This window comes from Homo sapiens, chromosome 15, assembly GCF_000001405.40.
Source record: "Homo sapiens chromosome 15, GRCh38.p14 Primary Assembly".
NCBI classification, from domain to species: Eukaryota; Metazoa; Chordata; class Mammalia; order Primates; family Hominidae; genus Homo; species Homo sapiens.
In genome coordinates, this window is record NC_000015.10 from 61,495,008 (window position 1) to 61,514,916 (window position 19,909).

The 19,909-nt window shown below is 41.5% G+C and overlaps 1 long non-coding RNA gene across 2 annotated transcripts in view; it reads right to left on the reverse strand.

The window, feature by feature from the left end:
• Nucleotides 1-11,854: 11,854 nt before the first annotated feature.
• The window catches only part of LOC107984782 (uncharacterized), a 208,325-nt gene continuing 200,270 nt past the window's right edge, over nt 11,855-19,909 (reverse strand). For both annotated transcript variants that reach the window (XR_001751569.2, XR_001751570.2), the window contains exon 4: nt 11,855-12,233. This is a non-coding gene — a long non-coding RNA (uncharacterized LOC107984782). The remainder of the gene's footprint in view (nt 12,234-19,909) is intronic.

Consider the following 19,909-nt stretch of genomic DNA (forward strand, 5'->3'; position numbering starts at 1 on the left):
TTTTATATATTTTTTGAAGCATTTAAATAGGAAATTAGGAGAAGACTTACTGGGCACATTCAATTTATCATGATGACAGCTCAGAAGTAGAGAGTCATATGTACATTCTCCAAATCTCCCACTCAGGAAATACATATATCAGAGTTTAAGAGTCTGTAATGAATAAAGACAGAAAATGGGCTAATTGAAGGTGGTACAAGGGAATTAAAAACCCTAATTTTACAAAAATGTACTCACTTTATTTTATTGTACCCCCTGAAGGTAAGCAGAATGTAATTGGGGAATAACTTCGGTTAACAAATGGTGATAGCTAAGACACTTTAAATTGGATTAGAAATTTGGAAATATACTACAAAATGAATTATGTAAATATAAGATCCTCAGTATACTTCCAGAACTATAGGACCCAAGGTTGCATTATGTAGCTATATTATTTGCATATATGTATAATTTGTATACAAATTATTGTAGATTGGAGCTGTGAGATGAATATGGTAGGGCTCAGAAAGAGATCTGGATCCTAGAAATCATCAGAAAGGGAAGTAGTCAAATACCACACTGTGCCCCACCACCCAGTGCAGTTCTGGTCATTGGGCCTCAATAAAACTTAACAACCTAGAGAAGGTTGCAGAAGGACATCGCAACTGAATGAGAAATGGACAGCTAGGGTTCCTGCTCACAGGACTGGGTAGACCTGCTGAAAGGAGAGAGTTAAGTTCAAACACTGCAGAGTGATTTCAAGAGGTCCAATAGATTTACTCTCTCTCTCTGTACACACAAACACACACACACACACACACACACGAATGTTTCTTAAAACTATATATTTGGCTCTATTAATGGCCTTAATAGGCTATTAGCTGGAAGCACAGTTGTTGGAGGAAAACTTTTCAAGGTGACTTGGAGAAGAACAGTCTTGGGTGCCAGGGATAGAATCCCGGGCTGGCTGGATGGCTAGACAGGTTTTGTTGCAGCATCTCTGATGCTTTATGACTGCACAGTACATGATAAGTGTTCTTGTCACCTTTTGCTTCTTGTGCTTTCAAATAATTATATGAAATTGGCTGTGGAATATCTACACTCCCTTGCTGTAACGCTGTTATAAGGTGCTGATTCTCAGTACTGGCTTCAATAGAAGAAAGTGGGAGAAACTAGATAAGGAAATACAACAGAAAATAGAGCACAAATACAAATAAGGAATGCACTGCTTTTCTGAGTTACCTCAGATGAACCTTTAAGGGATCCTGTAGCAAAATTTCAATAGCAGACGATCCAGTCCTAAAATATAAGGACCGATATCATTACCCAGCACTTTGCAAGACCCCAGGTGAGTCCCAGGAGGCATAGCATGTGCTATCAATGTGGCTCCTATCTCCTAATCCATCTCTTAAATTTTTTGTTTGCTTTTACCAGAGAAAAACATATACCTACCACCTATTGAAGGGCAGGTACAGCAGAAAACATTTTATAGTATTTCATCTTCAAAACCACAGCCCTACAAGATTGGGAATATCCTTATTTTACAGATAAGTGAGGCGTACAGAGGTTAGAAAATTTCTGAAGGTCTCACAGCTAACAATTGATGGGGGTCATAGTTTGAATGTAACTTGATGTATAACTTGATCCAGATATAACTCCATTCCAAAATCCAAGTTCTGAGCCACTTTCCCACAGTCCTTCTAGTTGAATTACAAAGTGAGCATCAATGTTAGTCTCCTCGATGACAAATGAAGCTGTCTACAAATATATGCTGAAGAAGAAAACTTTATGGCTTCAAAAGTGAAACCAGGAGGTAAATGACTGAGGTTGGCAATGTCAGATTCAGTGTATGGGGTTTTTCATGCTGCCAGAGCCTCTCCTGTGGGACAACGTCCATAAGTGAGCTTGTCATGCCACCTTGCCATCCTCACAACTTCCAGCAAACCAACTGCGTATGGACATCTTATTTTCCTTGGCTTTTCTTCTTCCTCTGCCCCTGTGGCTCTGAGCTCACCCTATCTCTTGGGCTCAGCTTTTTGTGCTCTCCCCTTCTGCTGTGAACATGGTCCCTTGGCTCACCCGCAAGTCTGCTTGCTGCTACCCTATGGAGGCACCTTCAGTGACCTCTTTTACTTTGGCTAATATCTGACCTTAGGCGAAACCTGGTTTTCGGCTTATTACTTCCTCACTTGTTTTGACAATTAGAAGGGGACCCATTCTGTTGTACAGGAAGAAGTTTGTCCCAGGAAGTGGATCTTGGTGCAATATGAGGAAGATTTCTCTAGTAGTCAGGGCTATGAAAAGATAGGATGATCTGCCTGGGGTGGTAGTAATAATTTTTTGTCACTGGAGGGATTCAAATATAGCTGTGTGATGATTTGGTGAGGAGACCTCAGTATCTATGTTGTGAGCAGTAACAAAGACAGCCAAAACCTCAGCAACTTGCAACAACTCAGGCTTATCTGTCACCCAAGTTACATAGTATACGTATGTCATGGTTTAATCGTGAATCTCCTCTTCATCATCCTCCCTTAGAGTCCCAGGCTAACAGAGCAGCCCTTACCAGGACACTGCAGGTTTCATATCAGAGCAAAAAGAGAGTTATGGCAAACCATGAGTTGGTTCTTAAAGCCACAGTTCAGATGTGACATTTGTACACGTATTTAATTGAGTAAAGCAAGTCACATGGCCACTCTGAGTTAAAAAGTGGGGAGATGTATAATTGCCCCTGAAAGAGGAAGACAAGTTCTGTGCCCAAGCTTGGCATCAGTGGGGCACGGAAGAATAAGGGACAGTCAATCTTTGGAACAGTGACATAAGCTACCACGATGTCACTGCTACATTAGGGGTTCTAACAGTGAAAATTAGGTGGGTTCGGCCACATAATTTGTAAGTTTCCTTCTAGCCTTGAGATTCTGTGATATGTAAGGACCTCCCAATCTTTTTGTGAGAAGCAATCACTTTTTGAAATACTGAGGCAGGAGAGTCAGGGCATAGAGTGATAGGGACTGTAAAGTTCCTGAAGGAGGTTGGCAGCAGCTTCTTACTATGCCCTTCCCTGCAGACTCTGAATGACCTAGTGTCCAGTAGAAATATGGTGTGAACCACATGTAAATTTAAAATTGTCCGTGAGTCACATTTTAAAAAATTTAAAAAGCCACAGGTAATATTCATTTTAATAATTTATTTAACCCAGTATATTTACAATATTATTTCAACATAAAATCAATATAAAAATTACTAATGACATTTTTTACCTTCTTTGTTTTATACTAAATCTTCAAAATCTGTGCATAGTTCACACTTAGACCTCAATTTGGAGTAGCCCCATTTTAAGTGCTCAAAACATGTGGCTAGTAGCTGCTGTATTGGACAGTATGCATTTAATGGAAAATGCTAAGCCTCTGGTGTCAGATACGCTTGGATTTGGGGTCTCAGGTTGGACTAGGGGGTGGTCCTTAGCTGTCGCTATTGAACAGAGTTGGAGAGAAGCAAGAATAAACAAGGTTTCATAAGTACCACCACAGAGGCATAAATCTAGTGTAGTGGTTACCATTGCAGATTGGGATTAGACAGACTAAATTTGAAACTGACTTGATTGGAAACCAGCTATGCCACCTCCAACTCTGTGGTCTTAGGTAAGTTAACGAAACTTTTTTTAGTCTTAATTTTTTATCTGTAAAGAGAGGAAAGTTTTACCTTTCTTGAATGACCTATGCAAGTATTGTTGATAGCATACATATGTTGCCTGGCACATAATAGATACTTAGTAAATAGTAATCAATGATAAATTTGTATTATTATTTGGGAAGGAGGAAGGTGCGTAGAGGAGAGAGAAATCATTGCCACAGGGCTGGGAGGTTAGTGGCAGCCACTAAGCAGGTTAGAGTTTATAATCAGGGAGTAGACAGGAATTGCTCAGGTAGAAAACTCTGGTCTGCATTGTATTTCTTCACTGTTCACTCCACAGGTCTTGCTAAATCATTGTCTTATTCTAGAACCTTTCGATTTAATTTCTTCCATTTAACATACGGTCTGCTTCAGTACTTCTAGAAAGAAAGGCTTTAAATTTCGCATTTAGAATGGTTTAGAGAAAGTATTTAGAGGACTTGGCATGCTGTTCAAGCACAGAATATAAGGAGATCTTTTCCTAACAGTGCATTTTCAGCATCATCTTCAGGGGTCCAGCACAGAGCCCAAGAGAACATGTCCCTAGACAGAGAGCATATCCCCAAATTAATGTACCTAATCATTAGGGTGGGAGAAAAAGAAGGCTGGGGGGTTAAAATATGACTAAAAGCCATAGCCAGACCCTCTTCTTTGGCTCTGTCTTGAGAAATTCTTCCCCTAAGTCTTCCCACAAGCTAGCCAGACCTCAAGTCCTTTATACTATGAGTGTGTTGGGAGAAAGCACACACTGACTTCAAAACTGTTATCAGCACCTTCCCAGGGATCAAAAAAAACAAGCAATACGGATTATACCTCTTAGATGCCAAGTTTGAGAAGGTTCACAATACACTAATTTTCCAGGACAATGAGTGTCTCAAAGTTGATCCTTGATCCTGTAGCAACACAGAGAAAGAGCTATGTCCTCTGGGCAGCCAAGAAGCACTGTTTTCTTAGCAACTGGCACCATTAGCTTCAGAAGGGGATAAGCAACCATTGGAATTTCGAATGGCGAATTTCCCAGAAAAGCATTCTTCTTTTCTGAGAACAGCACAGATTGGCTGGCTTAAATGAGGCACCTGGGGTGATATCCTGGCACCCAATATACAGGAAAAATATTGCCTGAGTGTTTCATAATAAGAATCATTTATAGTTTCAATTTGCTATATACCTTTAGCATTTTTTTAAATTGAGAAAAACTTATTTTTCTAGCAGTAAACAACTAAACATCATTATAGCTCTCTTAGAATCCAATAAAAATATACACTATTGAGATAGATCAGAAAAATAGAGTTTTTCACTCTATTTGATCTTGCTATTTTACATGAGTAAGAAAACAAATGAATCTTTTATGAACTTTACTTTCATCATGAATGATGTTACATATGACATTTAAACATACTCTTAATTATTTACTACATTTTTTTCTATTAATTTCTTGGTACTTAAAAATAAATTGAGGGGCTTTTCTTAGGAAAGGGGTTGATTTTGCATGAACATACCTTTCAGCTTTTCTATGCAGTCTGTTCATTTGAAGGACATTCCCATATAGGATCCAAATTCTCCATTTCCTTTGTGCTGCAGTTTAATGAAACCCCAGCATTTTTCTTGCTCCAAAAATGCCAAATGTAGTTAAGAATGCCTTGATAAGACGCTATTGCTAAAAACTATTTATATTCATAGTTTCCTGACAGTTTACTGCTTTTTGACATGGTATCTCTCATTGTAGAGCTTTGGCCAATATATATGTATATATATTACATGTATATTTATATTACATAATTAACACATACAAATATTTTACTGCATTTTGGTCTCCAATTGCTACCAAACATATACATACTCTGAGGAATACAAATATGTAAAGCACTTATTATCAGGATACAATTCTAGACATATATCTATAAATCATCTTTAAGTGGTTATGAATATTTTAGAAGCTAGGAATAATATATAGGAAAGCAGGATGCCCTAAATTTCAACCAATGTCAGTTTCACATTTTACTGCTCCTGTATGAAATAACACATTAGCATTGAGTATGAAATTAAAAGCCAGACAGAACTAGTTGCTTCTGTGAAGCCAGTGTGTGCATATGTGTGTAGATGGGTGTGGGGTGTGTCTTTGTGTGTTTTAAGTGAGGGAAAAATATTAAGAGGAGCTGAAAACATTTTAAAGAAGGAGATCATCACCTTCCACTTTATGGAATAACATGCAGTGTCTTTCATAAGCAAATACACAGGAATTTTTTTTCTTCATTAACATTTGAGGCAGAGAAGGTGAGTATGGCTGCCATCATAGGCTGGGAGATGTGCTGGCCTTAGGGAGAAGGAGGACTCCAGGGAGGGAAGCAAGTCCACGGATGCGCCATCCCAAAGTCTCCTAAATAATTGTATAACTTTGTCAGTGGGTGGTTTATTTGTGGAATCTTTCCCTGCTGGCCAGATAATGAGCAGGTGATTGTTCAGATAAGCATAGCTAAATACTGTTTGCATATCATTCGGAGAGTGCAGGACCACAGCAGCTCTGCCTGCACTTCATCACAACCTCACTGTGCATTCCCCAACCTGTGTTTAAGCTGAGAGCAAGGTTCCTTATGGGGATGGCTACAGTTCAACATCTCTGGCCTCATTTTAAAAAGATAACACACCATAATGCTGTGCTCATTCTTGCAACAGCAAGTATGTGAGCAGCCTAAAAAGAGAGAATGAATTAAAATGCTGTTAATTACGCTTGAGGCTATGACATTCCTTCGTAAGTAATTACGAGAGGGAGAAGTGTCCCCAGTGTTTCTGGTTTCTGATCGTTTACACAAAAAGTAGGAAGAGTGTGTTGCCCTCATCTCTCAAGTTCTTGGTCTGCGGGGGTCCTGATGAAGCCAGTCGCCTCTGTCAGTATTTGGAAAGCTGTCTACTAAAGCTGTGTCTTTAACACCACAATCTCACTGTCAAGAGGGAAGTGTAGTCAGAAGGGTGCCTATAGTAACAGAAATAACCCCATTTTTACTTCTTTTGCATATTACAACAGAAATTTAGAGCTTGCTGAGTTATCATCTACATTGCAGAGGTGGCCACTGAGGCCCACGGTCATACAACTGGCTCAGTAGGAACTTTCAGTTATGCATTTCATCACATAAAAGGTCTTCACTCATTCACTGAGTAAAAACAAAGAGAAAGGAAGGTAGATATCTGAGTAGTTAGTGCTGAGCCCTGAAAGCTGAAATAACTGCATTTTTTCTTTAACAAATCTGTCACCTTGAGAGTCTCCCTTGACCTCTTGCCCCAGTTACCAGAGGGAAAGAAATGCCAGGCACAGCTGAAATAGGAAATGCGACACGTCTCGTACATTGTCTTTGGCAAATGGATTACAGGAAACATTGATGCTTTCTGATGTTGTTTCAGCCGCGTTTGGGGACAGTCTGGAGTTGTGGGGTGGACCTTGGCAGATTACACGTGTATCAGAGTTCAGAGGTTTATTTGTTCTTGCAGAGACTCCAAATACTCTTGAATGCGGCACAGAAAACGAATTAAGAGAGAACAGGGCAGCTACAGGTACTTATGGACGTGAGGAGACTTAATAAAGCCTCTGTTGAGATGAAAGGACGTTAAACTCCATTAGCAGTATCCTTGCAAAACGCACATACACACACACACACAAGCAAGATATCCTGAAATGGTTGTCACGGAGCAACCCACTGCAAAGACTTTACATCTAATTGAAATTAATGATGCCTCCAGCAGCCTAAATTGAGCCCCTAGACCTCCCACCTATGCAAATTCAACAGGCAGGACTCAGCTCTTATGGAATTTGGTTTCCACCTGGCCTCCAGTTTTGAGAGTCTCTGCCCGTCCATGTTAGGAAGTATTCTTGGAATAAATCAAATTTACCTCTAAGAATGTTTGTGTGAGACTAGATAGAGACAGCCTGTAGGAAAATCAAGAAATTCACAGAACTTGTATTTGGCAAGAGTCAAAGATTCCCATCTAGGGACTATGTTTTCTGAACCAAAAGATTTTTTGTTTGTTTGTTCATATTTTTGCAACTGCCAGGTGCAGAAGAGAGTCTAGAAGATGTGTTTTTCTTTTGTAAAGCAACAAATATTTATTTAATCATAGAAACTGAGAGTTGAAAAGGATTTTACAGATAAAGCCTTCATTGGGGCTGAAATTTGTTTTGTGCTTTGATTTGTTCAACAGCTCTTTTTTGTAGCACGTGTTTCTCAAAATGGCAGCACACTGCAATCAGTTGGGAAACTTTAAAAAAAAATACCAATGCTTGAGGGAATCTCATTTAACTGGCCTGGGTGAAGGCTGATTCTAAAATATAGCAATGTTTGAAAACCGCTATTCAGTAGATTTCCAATATATCCATCCGTCCATACACACACACACACACACACACACACACACACACACACACACACACACACACACAGTAATTGTACTATTAATAGGATATTTTAAAGCAACTCTCAGGTAGCCACTTGAATACAACTGAAAGACTTCATTTTGATGCTAAAATATTAAGCATCTTAGATGGTTTTATAGAGACAGAATTAAATACTTGAAATTGGATCTGATCCACCTGGTGATTTTCACTCATCCCCCACAGCCAGACACCACAAAATAATCATGCTTTTCCCTGACTCAACCCAAACAGGAACTATAGCATGATGTCAACTGAAATTAAGGGTGTTGCAGCAGAAATAATTTAATAAAGGTTTATTGGAGGCCAAATTTGAGGACTGACCCAGGAAGACACATCAACAAAGTTGGGCATGTTCCCAAGTCTGTGACAAATGGAAATGCTTTTATAAGAAAGTTTAGGAGAAGGGAGGGGAGGCTCTTCCTATCAGAGTCATCCTTTATCATTGGAGAGTACAATACAGAAGTTACAATCATTGGCTACAGATGACAACACACTGGGTAAAATGTTCTGTGTGCAAGACAACCAACAAGACTTCATGATTCAGGAACAAATCAGTGTCCTTTTCAGTATCAGCAGATTACAAATTAATCAGTAAGACAACAGTTTGAGGAACTTAGGATAAGATTTGAGGGACTTATTGTGAAATTCTTTACTCAAGGACAGAATGGAAGCCATGACCTTCCCTAGGTGGTTAATTTGGAAACCTGTCAAATGTGGCCTGTAGGTTATCAATGAGGTGTATCTCCTCTGGGGAAAATTTGCATATTAAGATTGTCCAATGAGGATTGGAGTTTGGGGACATCAAGGACTTCCTGGGATAGGCCACCAATACCAGGGTGTAAGCAGTCACTCTGCCCTGGCTGGCTAAGGAATAGAAGCAGAAAATCCATCTAGCATTTCCCAGCCAATTTAACCTTCCAGCTCAGCCAGCCAAAGCCCTCCATGGCAAGAAGGCTTCCCCCATTAAACAGTTAATACACTGCTTTGAATAAACAGCAGAATTTCTGTATCATTCCTACTTATGAACAAAGATCCAGCACTCTTTCCAAGGCCAGCTCTGAACATACTAGCAGATTAGTGGCTTTGATTATTTAGTCTAATATTTTATTTGAAAGCCAGAGGAAAATAAGGCTAAGAGACCACAGTTATTTAGGCTTTCTGGAGAGGGATGGAAAGGATAGGTTACATGTGCAATCAGAAAGTAATCAGATGTGTCTTCTCCCTATCTACCACCGTAACACCCCTTACAGGCCTCAGATATGGTTCTGCTGGAGAACCTTAAATATTCATGATCAGATATTGTTTGGGTTAAGGCATTGAAGGTATCTGCCAAAAGGCAAATCTGGGAGGCAGCACTTGCTGCGATTCTGAATGGTATGGGGGCTGAGTGTGAGACCCCCGCTCAGGGCTGGGGAGGGAGTGCTCTTCTGGACTACACCTCCCCTCCCCACACTGAGCTGAGATCACTGGAGAGGGGTGATGAAGGATGTTGTTACTAATGGGATTTATTATGCATCTCATATGCATGGTGTGGAGATATATTTTTCAAAAAACTAAGAACGATTGATTTAAACCAAGAGTGATTAACATTTTGGCACAAATTAGTTGATCAGATGCTAGCAAAAGCCCTAAGGACAAGGACATGAGAGAGGAGAGAGGAGAGATGTCATGGGGAAGGAAGTGGGACAGTAAAATCTAAGACTTGGGGAGGTGATCCCAGGTGAGGTATTGCCCTGCGGGTCTTTGGGCAAGAGGGGAGCAGAGGAAGGGGAGCTGTGAAAAGACAGGGGTCAAGAAGGATCTGAATCAAATGCAAAGGCTCTGAGGACAGACTCAAACCTTTCCCTGACTCAGCCCAAACAAGGAGAATTTAAGTCTTTGTTTTTTCTAGTGTGTCTTGATCAAATTAAATGTAATCAGAGATGAAAACTGCCTGTTTTCTTTGTTCCTTTTGCTACATTAAGAGTGTAGCTAAAATTTACTAAGTGCTTGTCACGTGCCAGGCACCACACTAAGCACTTTATACTGTCTCTATGAGCACCTCTAATAGTAGGGGCTATTATTGCCCCCATTTAAAAAGTAGAGACCAGACCAGGTGCAATGGCTCACACCTGTAATCCCAGCACTTTGGGAGGCCAAGGCAGGTGGAACATTTGAGGTCAGGGGTTCAAGACCAGCCTGACCAATATGGTGAAACCCCATCTCTACGAAAAATACAAACGAATCAGCCAAGCATGGTGGTGCATGCCTGTAGTCCCAGCTACTCAGGAGGCTAAGGCAGGAGAATTGTTTGAACCCAGGAGCCAGAGGTTGCAGTGAGCCCAGATTCATGCCACTGCATTCCAGCTTGGGCAACAGAGCGAGAGTCCATCTCAAAAATAATAATAAAATAAAAATTAAAAAAATTAAAAGCAGAGACCGGAGACATTAAATAGTTTGCCAAAGGCCCGATGGCTATCAGTAGCTGAGCTGGAATTATGAACCCAGTCAGTGAGTCCTACTGCATATTGTCTTAAAAACAACATTCTGCCCATCCTTTGTGAGTGTTGGGATTGCGTGTGGACGTGCTTCTCAAAGAAAAGAGAAAATCTCTGCATTGTCTTTCTAGGGAAGCTCAGCAGGCCATTTATTCTTGAGGCCTTTACTTATCCTTAAAAGAAGACCAACAAATTTAGATTTTTCAAACATGAGGTCTCTTTAAATCTCTTGAGCTTAGGACTTCCAGTCTAGTCTGGGCAAGATAGACTTGCAAAAGACTTGCCGAGGCTGGACTCGAACTCCTGGGCTCAAGACATCTTCCCACCTCGGCCTCCTGAGTAGCTAGGACTATAGTAGCACACCATTATGCCTGGCTCAAGTTTTATTTTTCAAGGGCTGTGACTCCTTTCACATAGGCCACTGAGTACTAATAAAGAAGATAAGAGTTGAGGTCAGGACTTCTGTGGTGTCTATGGGAACAGGGAGTATTACCTAGAGGAGAAAGGTGGGGAAGAGGTGTGAAGGAAACAGAGGCGCTTAGGGGCCTGTAAGGTTGGGACACTGGGTCATTCCTCCTGACTCATAGTCTGTGTGGGGCTAGTTAAAAGAAATAAGGCCTCTTACAGGGATACCTTTTTATAGCCCAGAATGACTCCATGAAAGAGATAACTTTCTAATACCCATCACCTCAAATGATACTTGCAATCCTGTTTCCTCTCTTGAAAAATCAGGAGGGCTTCCAGTCTGAGCTGGAGATAACAGAATGTGCTTTGGTTTCAGAATGCCTTTCCCATGTCATATACTCATTTCTTAGAAGCCCCACATTAGTCTTTATTTTAAAAGCACAGTATTTAAAAAAAAAAAAAAAAAAAAAAAAAAACCTAAATGCATGTGCTTATGTTGAAAGCCCCCATCCGTTCGATCTGATTTCCTTTCCTAAGAGCTTTCAGAATGGCTCTGGCTTTTGTCTCTCTACCTAGTGGTTCCGTTGACCTTCTAACAGAAAAGCCTGAAACTGCATAAGTTCCCTGTGCAACCAGCAAGGTGAAAGCAGTATCCCTTGGGGCCTGAGGCAGGACTACAGGCTCCACGGCAGGATGCTGTCTGTCTTGCTTGGTACTGTAGACCTGGTACCCACTCCAGTGCCCAGCATAAAGAAGATCCTTAAGCAGGAGACCCTAGTTCAGAGATAAAGCTATCTTTCCAAGTTTACTTAACAAGTATAGTTACCTATTGCTGCATAACAAATCACCACACTCTTATCACAAAATCCCACCAATGGCTTAGAACAGCAGGTGTTAATTATCTCAGTTTCTATGGGTCAGAAATACAGGGGCAGCTTATCTGGATCCTCTGCACTGGGGTCTCTACAAACATGGTGTCAGCCAGGGCTGCATCTCCTCTGAAGGTTTGACTGGGGAAAAATCCAACTTCAAGCTTTCTTACTTGATTGTCAGCAGGATTTATTTCTTTGCTTGCTGTTGGACAGAAGCCACCATCAGTTTCTTGCTACACAAGTATCTCCAAAATGTGGTCACTTGATTCATCAAAGGGACAGTCTGCTAGCAAGATGGAAGTCACACTGTTAAACAACCTAATCATGGAGGCAGCAATTTCTTACCTTTGCCATATTTTGTTGATTAGAAGCAAGTCGCCAGTTCTGCCTGCACTGAAGGGGGGATACCTGTATGAAGACATGAATGCCAGGAGAATGGATCATTGGGGCCATCGTAGAGTCTGACCATAGCAATCAGATGATGATCATATGCCTGTGGTCAGCACTGCCTCTCCTTGCATTCCCCTTCCATTTCGGCCACCCATGCATATGTACGTTGAACACACATGTAGTGTGACTTCTTTATTGAGTCACTCTTGTCGAATTCTTGACCTCAGGTGATCCACCCACCTTGGCCTCCCAAAGTGCTGGGATTGCAGGTGTGAGCCACCATGCCTGGCCATGACTTCTTACAATCAAGGAAACGTGAGAGTAAGCCACGATTATTGTGAAGAGGGCTCACAATCTATTAGGGGAGATGAATAAAAGTGATACACAAAATACGTACTACAAGAGAATATTGGCACACACGAAAAAAACAGAGGGAGAGCAACATTCAATTCCAGAAACATAGGAAGTCCAATGAAATAAATACCACTTTGAGCTGGGATTGCCCAGGAAATTTATAGAGAAGATGTAATTTGAGCTGAGTCTTAAAGAGTAGTTAATAACCAACATTTATTGACCTTTACCTATGTTTTAATAAGTGTCTTATATAAAAGATTTTGCTAAATTTTCATAGTAATCCCCTAAGGTAGGTTTTATTATTATCTCCACCTTAAAGATGAGGAAACCGAGGTTCACAGACATGAAATGACTTGCCCAAATCCACCCAGCTTGTAGATGGCAAAAAGAGAAGCAAGTCCACATGAACCCAGAGCCTACACTTGTTACCACTATTCAGCATTGCTTCAGACAGAAATGGTCAGTAGAGACAAATGGAGGAAAGGCCTTTTTAGCAGTAGGAATGGCATGAAAAAAGAAGCAGAAGCAGGCAGACGGTAGCGGCCACTCAGGTAGAGAAACTGCAATTCCCTCTGTCTATGAAGTTTTCTCCTCAGCTCTTCATAGGGCTGGTCCCTTGAGACCTTCAGATTTCAGCTCAAATGTCATTTCTAGATAGTTAGGAGCCCTCTTCTGCCACCCCCATCACCATCACAAGCTGCACTTTGTCATTGCGTCTTGTTTGGCCATTACCACTGTGTCCGCCCGCCAACCCCTTGTCTACACAGTGCCCAGCACAAAGCAGGTACCTGATCGAGTATGGAGTCATTACAGGAGAGGAGTGGCTATGAAAGCAGGGCCTGTGTTTTGTGTCATTAAGAAGTTTGGTTTTTATTCTGTAGACAATGATGGAGCCTGTGGAGGTTTTTTTGAGCAGGAGAGTAACATAATGATAGCCAGGTGCTGGGGAAATGGCTTTGTGGGTGGCATGCTCTGGACAATGATACTGATAAGCAGTTTGCTCTAAGATTTCCTGCTGACCTTTGCTGTGACCTCCACCTCTCTAGCACCCAAAGATTTTCAGCTGTCTACCTTTCCCCTGCCAAGGAGAACATTCATTTGGAGTGAGATATTAGAGACTTATTTTTGTTCCTTCCAGGAAATTTTGAGCTTTAAATGAAGAGTTGATGCTTAACACTGGCTCCTGGGTTCCAGAACTGATTTTGGCTCTGGTATACTGTGTGACCCAAGATAAGTCTCTTCAGGTCTCTGAGACTAAGTTCTTCTGTAAAATGAGGGGATTGGGCTAGATGCCAATTCTACGATTTCATTATGTTTCTTTCTAATTTAAATCTAGAGCATTTTGATATATATATATTCAGGGATTTTTAAAAAGTCTTTATTCTAAGAAGGACATTTCAATATCTCTAGTTACTATTCACTATTTTCAACATTTCTTGAGCACTGGTCACGACAAATTGTTGACTTATATTGCCCTGGATTACAGGTGAGTTGGTTTATTCATCTTGGTATCTTTTCTCACTTTCTGCTTCCTCCTCCACAAAAGGTCCAAAAATATGCAGGCATCCTCTTGTGAGACACAGTCTCAGGAGGTAGATGGGTGTCCAGTGTTTCTGCATTTATAAAACTGTCATGAGCCAGGAAATGCTCACAAGCCTGGGTCATCTTGGGAATGACAAAGACAGGATCAGCCAGCGAATGAAATGTCATGGGATTCCAAATGATGTGAAAGAAAGTGAAGAAAGACAGAAATCACATAATTTCAGAAATCCTAGCACTGCTGCCCAGCCCCTCGTCCTGGCTTTCCTGCCTACCCTCCCTCCCCCAACTGTCCCATCCATCTCTGGAACCTTTCCTGCCATGCGCCTTCACAGCCTCCAACAAATATATATTTAGTAACTCCCAGAAAGATTTCCATCTAGGACGTCGCCACAGCATACAAATGAGGCCTCTGAGCAGTGTTTCATGGCTAGGTTGTTGTACAGTGGATTCCCACATCTGTTTAAGTTCCTGTTGTACCTCCCACCCCATTTCTCTTGTCCACCACCCCAGTCTCCCCCCTCCCCACTCACACAAACACAAGCACTCTCTTTGACTTCTGGAAGTGTCAATGATTTTCCCTCTAAAACTTCAGAGGAGGAGATTGCCTGGCAGCTTTTGAAACTTTCCCCATGTTCTGTTAAATTGAAATATTGTTTTTAGACCACGGAACAGAGTGGTGAAACGCAGTGGCGGTCTTCTCAGAGCATGTCAGGATGATCAATCTTTTTAAAGACCAGCAGGCGTGAAGTGTGACAGTGCTCAAGTGCTCGGATCCGATGTGTCTGACTTGCTGGAGTCTCTGTTTAGGGGGGAAATTGATCATATCTGAGCTGTGGAACCAGTAGGATTAATTGTTTAATCCTACAAGCATGTACGCATTTGATCGTGCATGACTACCTTCCTGAGTTGCACTTGGCAGGCTTTCCTTTCCTTTGTTTCCTAATCTGTCTTTTCCTTACCCCAAATCTACCGCCACCTCTCCCCAAAAATCCATAAGGTACAAAATTTCAATCTTTGTATTTAAAACACAAACACAAAGAGCATATTTAAGTTTCTTCTTCTAACATTATTTCAGTACAAAGCAGAATTCATTAAAATAGAAATTAATCAAGTTTTGCTCACAACCACAAAGTCATTTAATGAAGAACAGGGGGCCTATCCTAAGTTTTCCTGAGAAGGAAAACACGGCTGTACATAAGAATTGGTGATGGAAAGGGGCTCAGTGCATCCGACACCTCTGTCTTCAGTCTTGCCATCTGTGAACCAGACAGTATTGGCGCACAGTCTGTGGCCACAGAGGCTGTTACCCACTTTGATTTGTGAAAATCTTCTGTGAAATTTTACTTAATCCACCTAACCTATAGTGAAGTCACATGTAAAACAGATATAGTCGTGCTCAGATGCAGTAAGAAGCAAAAAACCACTTTACTTGAAGTGCTTACTTCAGTGATGGTTTCATTTGATGTGCTTAGTAAGTATTATGAGGCCACAATTGGGGAGGAAAAAATAATCAGCAGCAGTGTTCTCCAAGGGGATACCAAGCTCATCCTTTGGGAGTATGAGAAGACAGTATGATTTCTTTTGAAACTTATATTTTATCTCCAAAGGAAAAAAGTTAGCTTTATTAATCATGGATTGACTCATGGCCTCCCTCCATCTGTGTGTCAGATTGTCTAAGTGACCTGGGAGGCAAGCAAGTTAGCCTGAGAAAAGTGTGGGCTCATCACAACAAAGACAAGTGGACTTTAGGGCCCTTGCACTAGTTTTCATGTCAGTGTGTTAGGAAGAGTTAGTGTGCTTGCAGTTGTGTGGGTTTGCCAATATTATCTGGTTTTAATCAAACTAATTCTCACAAAATAGATCAACGTCTAAAAAAGATTCCTGCTCTAATTTTAAAAATGTATTAAAGATGCTGTCAAAAATTGTGAAAGGTCTGAGATTTTATACTACTTGCAATCTAACAAGCTAGCCTGCCACATTTCATGGATGCTGGCAAAAGACACAAGACTCCTGGGTCAGAGACTAAGGATGTTATTACTTAAAACACAACAAGCGTGAACCTCATGTATGCCCTGGCTAGCCTTGCCCCCCAAGTCCCCAGGGCCAATGTGGACAGTGCAGGCAGACGCTGCACATACAGTGTGTTTGTGTCACAGCTGAAAGCCTGAGTGAAGCAAACCCAAATCTTTTGTAATAGGACTGCTAGAAAACTTGCCCAACCTTTGCTCCAGAGGAAGACATTATCTTTATAATGTTGGACAGCAAACAAACCTGCTTTCTGCTCCATAGGGAGCCCGTTTCTGTGTTTCATGGCTTTTTGCTATACAAACATCCTTGAGAAGATAGACCAGAATCAAAGTTGTCAGAGCTCCTGCTTGCCAGACACGCAGAAAAATAAGAGATCTGTGAAGAACTGTCTCACAGCAGATATTATGCACTAATGAAGTACAAATGAAAATAAGAAAATGTCTGAGCTTACATTTCTTCTCCAAGAATGAGCAAACCTTTTACTAAGGCATAAACAATGACAATCTATCAGATCTAACAAGAGGTCAGCTAAAAAAATTGTACATGATAAAAGACTATCAAATATATATTTATATCTACTGCCTAAACCTTGATACAATTTTATATCATGCCTTGAAATATTAGCAAATGATAAGAGGCATATTTATATAATTTATAAATAAATATGCATATAAGTAAAGACAAAACTAGTGGGGGTCTGTGCTCGATTTGCTTAACATTGGGGGATGCACATTCAAAAGCATGTTAATCCCTGCTCTAGAGACAACAGTGGTATGATATAACTAGGACTTGGAAGAATTCCAGAATGCAAAATCTTTTGGCTCTACTAACAGTATACAAGTCATTCTTAAGTGCCTAGACTACCTCTTGAATTAGATTCAATCAGCTAAGGAGACTTGAACTTCCCCAAGATCTCTGCAAGCCAGTTTCTCCAAGGAACTGAACTTTCCACTAGGCTAAAGGAGACCCTCCACCTGCTGAGGGAGACAAAGCCACCAGAAGATGGAGTAAGGTCTGGGGCCGTTAATATTGTGTACCTTCCCCAATTCCTCCAACCTCAAACTTGTTGAATTAATTCAAATTAGCATCTGGGCCAATATTAAAGGAACATGAATCACAAAAAGGGAGGAGTGATGGGGTGAGGGGTAGGGGGGCTGTTAGAGGATGTACAACCCTGGTTGTTAGTGAGAGTACAGCTCTGTCTTGCCTTTGAGGTAAGGGTTTTACTGTTCATTTATTTGTCTTGGACTTAAATATACATATATAAGGCAGTTCCTCATCTTCCCTCGTTTCCCCAGGCTTTACCATCAGTCCTGGCGATTCCTCAACAGGAAGGCTGTTTAAACTTCAACAGCCTGGAGCACTTGCTCCTGTTTACAGCCTCCAGGAGTCTATTTTCACAATTGTTTGGTGCACAGAAACAGAAGAGTACAAAAGAGTCACCCTTGGCTTATCTGCACAACCAAAAATGGTCCTAGTGCCTGTCTAGCAGTGAAGGCAACACTATTTCTCCATCTTGCAGTCAAAAAGCCAAAATAGTAGGAATACTTATTTCCAAATGACCAGTGCACAGATTTTGAGGTCCTAAAATCCTAGGTTTGAATACTGGCCCATTTATTGTTTGCTGTGTGACCTTGGATTCATTACACTGCATTTCCTTGGATTCCTCATCTGTTCACCTGGGTGGATGTTTATGAAAATATGAGGCTACTACATGGCACAAAGTAGGTGCCCCATAAACACTAGTTGTTCTTCCATTTTCTCCTTTTTTATGTTTAAAAATGAAAACTTGGCCGGGCGTGGTGGCTCATGCCTGTAATCCCCGCACTTTGGGAGGCCGAGATGGGCGGACCACTTGAGGTTAGGACTTCGGCCAACAGGGCGAAACCCTGTCTCTACTAAAAATGCAAAAATTAGCCGGGTGTGGTGGCAGATGCCTGTAATCCCAGCTACTTGGGAGGCTGAGGCACGAGAATCTCTTGAAACCGAGAGGCGGATGTGGCAGTGAGCCGAGATCACACCACTGCACTGCAGCCTGAGTGACAAAGTGAAACTCTGTCTCCAAAACAAAACAAAACACAACAAAAGAGATTTAATTCCCAAGGCACAATTTAAGATGGCTAGAATGTAATCTCATTAGGTCTTGGTAAATTGGTATAATTGATGGCCAGGCACCGTGGCTTACGCCTGTAATCTCAGCATTTTGGGAGGCTGATGAGGGTGGATCATAACGTCAGGAGCTCGAGACCATCCTGGCCAATATGGTGAAACCCCCACCTCTACTAAAAATACAAAAATTAGCTGGGTGTAGTGGCGCATGCCTATAATCCTAGCTACTTGGGAGGCTGAAGTAGGACAATTGCTTGAACCCGGGAGGTGGAGATTGCAGTGAGCCGAGATTGCACCACTGCAGTCCAGCCTGGTGACACAGCAAGTCTCTGTCTCAAAAAAACAAAACAGAAAAAAACATAATTGACATGTTAAAGTAATTTTTTACGATGACGAGCATGAGGGTGAAAACATAAGATAAAAACCACAAAAGTGGTTTTGTAAAATGTTTGTTTATGGGGTATGAATGCAGCTTCCTTGCATGCATATAATACACAGTCTAGGTTTCTAGTGTACCCATCACCCAAATAGTGAACATTGTACCCAATAGGTAATTTCTTAACCCTCACCCCCTCCCACCCTCCCACCTTTTGTAGTCTCCCATGTTGATTATTCTACTCTGTATGTCCACGTTACCCTTTGTTAACTCCCACTTATATGTGAGAACATGCTGAGGATTGCGTTTCTCCTCCAAGTCCAACACAGAGTCGACTGGATGTTAGAGTTCCCAAATCTGAAATACCTATCAGTTGTTGGCTAGACCTGAATATCTGTTAGAGGGCAGAACTAAAAACACCCTGGAAACATTCCCAGAGCTACATTTCTCCTGGAGCCAAGAAGAAAACACAAGTGATCCATTTTGAACTTATTGATAACTGTCACATTTCTTTTAGGGAAACGGAAGAGCCAGTTTTGGGGCTTGGTATCTGGAGTTCTCCATATTAAGTCAGGATGCCAAGATGGTCTAGAGCTGTGGTTTTCCAACAGGAACCGCCCATCAGAATACCAGGGGTAAGGTGAAAAAATACAGATCCTGAGGCTATACTACCAGAGAGTCTTCTTGAGGAAGAGGGCCTGGAAACCTCTATTTCAAAAGCCTTTTCCATCCACCCCCAATCATTTTGATGATCAGCCATATGCATATCGGCCAAAAGCCTGGTCCCTAAAGTAGAAACAATAACCTCTGGATTTTGCTTATTCAGACTTTCTTTTAACCTCAATTAAATATTTTTTTGGGACAAGCAGTGGGATCATCAATGAAATAACATAAGGATTATTTATACACTTCTAAGTAGAGTGGCCCCTGGGAAGCTGACCCTAAGATTAGCATGCAGGTGTTTCTATCAGGGACTCTTGGGACTAGCACCTTTGAAAGGGAGAAGGCATCAGGGTCCGGCAGAGGAAGATGCTGATCTGTGATTAAGTCCCAGTGAAAGCCCCAGGGGACCCCATGGGGAGCTCTGGGGCTGGATGGCCCTCTAGCATCGTCCTGAGTTGGGGCAGAGGGTCTGGGCCTTTAAACCTCTGCATTGATCAGTCATTGAATGTGGGCTGCCTATGGAAAAAGGCATGATCTTTGGCGAGGTAGTTTTCTTCAGCCAAGGCAATCCCTAAAGAGGGCTGATGGCTGACAGCCACCTTCTGATAGCACTCCCAGCACC